This window comes from Homo sapiens, chromosome 2, assembly GCF_000001405.40.
Source record: "Homo sapiens chromosome 2, GRCh38.p14 Primary Assembly".
NCBI classification, from domain to species: Eukaryota; Metazoa; Chordata; class Mammalia; order Primates; family Hominidae; genus Homo; species Homo sapiens.
Window position 1 is genome coordinate 137,706,956 of NC_000002.12, and position 4,821 is coordinate 137,711,776.

The following is a 4,821-nucleotide window of genomic DNA, read 5'->3' on the forward strand; positions in this document are numbered from 1 at the left end:
TCGTATCCCACGCCTGCCAAGGGAGAGTCAGGCATGGAGCGGCAAGAAGTGTGTAAGCGAGTGGGTGCGGAAGCCGGCCACTGTGCACAGCCAGGCATTCTGGCTGCTGTGGTGGGGTGGGAAGCTCCAGGCACTGGCACATGTGCCAGCTACATGCAAGACTGAAGCTGGAACAGACATAGAGCAAGCACCCTCTGCTGTGGGCACCAGCATCTGGACAAGAGGAATGCAATGGCACTTGAAAGCTCGGAGACGCCACAAACCACAGAGCCCCAGAGAGGATGTTACAACATGTCACAGCCCTGACCTGGGGAGCCCTGAGGTCTGGGGTTTCAGAAGGGCTACAGCTCTTCTTTCCTTCTTGTCACCTGCAGCGCAGCGAGCTGGGTGGCAGGCAGGGTGGAGGGCATGTTTCAGGAGGAGTATTTAAGTCCGTTTGTGTAACAGTTCTTTCAGTCCTTCTGCCCTCAGCCAGGCCTGCAGCTCCTGGGCTGGCCAAGCCCTGCCACTGCTTCTTGTTGCAAGAGGTGCCTGCCCAGTGCTGGCAAAGGGCCAGAGAGCTATAGTGTTACAGCAGCTCTGGCTTGGGGGAATCCTGAGGTATGGGCCCCCAGCAGAGTCACCACCCTTCACTCCCACAGTCTGGGAGTGTGTCACTGCCTGCAGCTCAATAAGCCATCCAGGAACCTATTACAGCCCCTTTAGCTGCCACTGGCACCTCTGCGAGCCAGCCAGGAATGTGTTACAGTTCCTTTCATTCCTGGTGTTTAGCAGGTCCCAAGTTCTTGTCCTATGTCCAGGAAGAATGAGGTTGTGTGGACAAATGGAAGGTGAGCAAGGGAGAAAGCTTTATTGATAGAACACCTCTCAGCAGAGAGGAGACCTGAAGTGGGTGGCTCCTATCTGCAAGCAGGTCTTGCTGATGAATATCTGAGTCTGACTAAGTCCAGGGGTTTTTATGGGCTCAAAAGAGAGGAAGGTCATGCTTATTGATCCATGGATGGGAGGAAGTATGTGCTGATTGGTCCATGGGCAGCCATGGGCAGGCCTGGAAAAAGCACCATCTCGTCACAGAAGGCATCAAGGAAGTTCTCACTCCAGGTTGTGGACTCCACTGGGAACTGGAAGCCCAGTGCCCAGGCTTCAGGCTGTCCCTGGCTTGAAGGTGGGATTTCACAGGGGAACAGCCCCCTCCCGCCTAGGAACCTGTCTGCCTCCCACTGCCATCAACATGCCATCCACAGAGTCCAGGATGTCTGCACCGAGGGGCACCCACAAACCCATACTAAGCCACCCTCAGCCCCCTGGGCTCCCTCCCATGACCGTCAGCACCCAATGTTTTAGCCTCAGAAGCAGTTTCCAGAGGAGGCCAAGCCAGCAGGAGACTGGTATGTCAGCACCACCCTAAGTGCACACATGCCCAGCTGGGTAGCAAGAGTGCCTGGGCTCAGCTATCGGGACATGTCCACAACTTTGTTCTGCTGCAGAGTAGCACTGGGAGCAGGGAGAGGCCAGGGAGTGGGAGCAGGCACTTCCAAGCCTGTGGGTGCAGGGGTCTTCCTAGGCCCCCGAGAGTACAGGGATGACTGGATCCAGAGCTGTGACTGGGTGGCTGCAGCTGCACCCAGGAGCACAGTCTCTGCCAACTAAATAGGGTGTGGGGCTCCCACTGGGATCACCTGTTCCCAGCGCCTGTCATCTTTGCAGATCGCGCAGCCCTGGCTGTGCCTCCCCTGCTGCAGCTGATGTCCTTGCAGCTGCCACTCCAGATGGGCCACTACTGCCATCAAATAGATCAAGATGCTGAAAAATGAGGAAATACATATAGAATATCATTCATTTTTTAATAAAAATAATCAAAGAGTTACATCTTTAAGCATATATATGACTATGTATTTCATATAATATATATTTTATATATTATTGTGAGATTGTGGAGAAATTTTGAGTAGTGCCTACATTCCTGGATAGAAGGTGATGATTGATATGAGTGGAAAGATGAATAAAGGAAAAGAATTAGAAAATCTAAATAAAAAATACAACACCAATATATATGACTAAATTAATTTATTTTCTGTCACAGTGAATAAACATATATGTATATATAATGATAAAATAGAAAGATGAAAGTATAAAGAACTTTAAAGAAAGTATGAAAGACCAAAAGTAAGTACAGAGAAAAATTACAGGCCAACCTTATTCTGACCATAGAGGCAAAATATGTTTTAAAATATTAGCAAACCAAATTGAAATATTTGTTTTAAAAAATATATCATGGCCATATCAAGTTGTCCCAATAATGTAAAGACAGTTTATATTTTAAAATAAACATGTAACTTGCTATATTTAGAAATTAAAGAAAAAGAAATAAACCATTATGTCAAATATATGAAAAGCATTTGTAATATTCATTAATGGTAACAATTGATAGCAAACTAATAATAGATGGCAACTCTTTCAGCCTAGTATAAGACATCTACCAAAATTTTACATCAGTTATTATTAATAATGGAAACATAGGAGAAGTATTGATAATGGAGACATATGATATCAGCAAAATGGCAGAAGAGGAGTTCCCTGGTATAACTCACCCCACTAAAGTACAACTAGCAATTATCAGTAGACAAGAATACCACCCTGAACTTGCCAGAACTCTGAGGAGAAGCAGAAAACCCCTGTGGGTTTGAAAAATGACAAAAGCTGCAACTAATAAGAGGGATGGCTATTTCAGACTTCACTACCCCTCCCCTAAACTAACATAATGCCACTTACAGAGAATTCCTATCAACCCATAGTTTCTCAGGTGGGAGGAGGGAATTGAAGGTGGATATTTGATCTCCTCACTGGTCCAGCAATCTTCCCAGGAAGATGGGAAATGCTTTAGTCTCATCTGCTGGAAGCACTGGAAGTGCCAGTAGGGCTCCAGTCCCATCTCATGGAAGCACTGGGAGTGCCCATAGGGCCAAACCACCTGGGGTAAATTGGAGACAAAGATCAGGAGCACTGATTGCAGTGACTGGTGTGCAGATCTTAGTGGCTACTCTACCACTGATCGGGGGGTCATCATGCTGAGGAGACTAACCAGCACAATTACAGTGCAGGGGGCATGGTTCATGTGTCTCCTAGGCCAAAGTTTCTGGCTGGCTTTCACACATGGTTCAGGTGCTCTTCTTGAGTCTTACCCTGACTAGGAAGCAACTAAAACTTCAGTAATTATTTTTCAATGTTCAGATTAAGTCTTCTCCAGAGTTGAAAAGAACTTCAAGTCATTGGTTTAGCTCTGGTGCAGCATTTGAGGTCTGGTGCTCACTATAAGTGTTCCCCAGAACAGAACTTAACTGCAGGCCAGCAGTTAAATTCTGACATTAAATAGTAAAAGTTTAATGCCACAAAATAATATCTTCACAAGATAAAAGTGGTGACTGTCTCCTTAAATCCACAAGCATTAACATAAACACACAATGATTGTGAAAAATCAGGAAAATATGATACCACTGTAATGCCAAAGGTCCTTGCCTTAGCCACACCAAAGAATTGGTGTGGCAGCTGCCCGTGAGAAGTGACAGAGACACAGACTGATAGAGAAAGCTGTAGGCTTTATTCGGCAGAGTGAAAGCATAAAGCTTCCACAGCGTGGAAGGGGTCTCGAACGGGTAGACAGAGTTAGATTATGCAGTTGCCTTTTAAACTCTTTGAGGTGGGAAATATGTGCAGAGAGAAGACGTTACCAGAGCGAGAAACAAAGGCAGTAAATTATTTTGTGACATGTCTTAGATTTTGAGGAAAACTGGAATTGCAACTTAGGTTTTATCTACTTTATGACCTTGCAGTGACATGGCAAAGGAGACAGGATCTCACATGACTTTACAAAGTGTGTTTACAAGGAATTGGAATTAGGAGCATAGGTAAGGTCCACTGGTCCTTATCTACCCATTAGAAAAATGGGCATTTAACATTCCTTTTAGTTTTAGGGGAGGAGGAAGGGAGAAAGGGAGAGAGGGCACAGGGAAGCTTACAGCAAAATTTTCTCTGTTTATAGCTTTTTTGGGGAAGAAAACACATGCACAAATCCTCATGTTAGGAATATTTTAAGCATATATCTTCAATATTATCCAGGACCGAAGTAAGTCCTGACGCAGGAAATGAGTGAGTTTCACAGCTTTCTGAGCCCCTACTTGACCCAGGAAGCCCAGCTGGCCCCTCCTTTCACCACCAAGGTAAACAAATAAAGCTCCCATAATGGATTCAGAAGAATTGAAGATCTATGAACTGACTGACAAAGAATTCCAAAAGATCCTCTTAAAACAATTCAGGGCATCACAAGAAAATATGTTTAGAAAATTAAATAAATTTTAGAAAACAATTTATGGTGTTCACAAAAACATTTGACAGAGGAATAGAAATAAAGAAACAAATTAAAACCCTAAAACTAAAAAATATAATAGCTGAATTGAAAAACTCAATAGAAAGCCTTGAAAGCAGACTTAAACATAGGAAAGCATCAGTAAGCTCAAAGGACGTATAAAATTGTTCAAGTAGGGAAGTAAAAATAATAAATAAAAATAAACACCACGGGAATCATGGGACACCATCAAGTGATCTAAACTTCACATAATGTAAAGTTCTTGAAAGAGGTAAGAGAGAAAAAAGCCTAGAAATAATATTTTTAAAAATAATGACTAAAACTTTTCTGTATCTGGGGAAAAATAACAACATACAGGTACAGGAAGCTCAGAGATCACCAATCAAATGTAAGACAAAGAATAATTCCCCAACAAATCCTTAAAAATCAGAGACAAAGAAAGAATACTGAATGTAGCA

The 4,821-nt window shown here is 43.7% G+C and overlaps 2 annotated features.

Moving 5' to 3' along the window:
* Window positions 260-759: an enhancer, noted in NCBI's record as "H3K4me1 hESC enhancer chr2:138464785-138465284 (GRCh37/hg19 assembly coordinates)". NCBI's record gives its function as "activates a minimal SCP1, AML or CMV promoter by ChIP-STARR-seq in primed H9 embryonic stem cells {active_cell/tissue: H9 hESC(primed)}" and the evidence as "EXISTENCE:reporter gene assay evidence [ECO:0000049][PMID:30033119]".
* Window positions 1,416-1,915: an enhancer, noted in NCBI's record as "H3K4me1 hESC enhancer chr2:138465941-138466440 (GRCh37/hg19 assembly coordinates)". NCBI's record gives its function as "activates a minimal SCP1, AML or CMV promoter by ChIP-STARR-seq in primed H9 embryonic stem cells {active_cell/tissue: H9 hESC(primed)}" and the evidence as "EXISTENCE:reporter gene assay evidence [ECO:0000049][PMID:30033119]".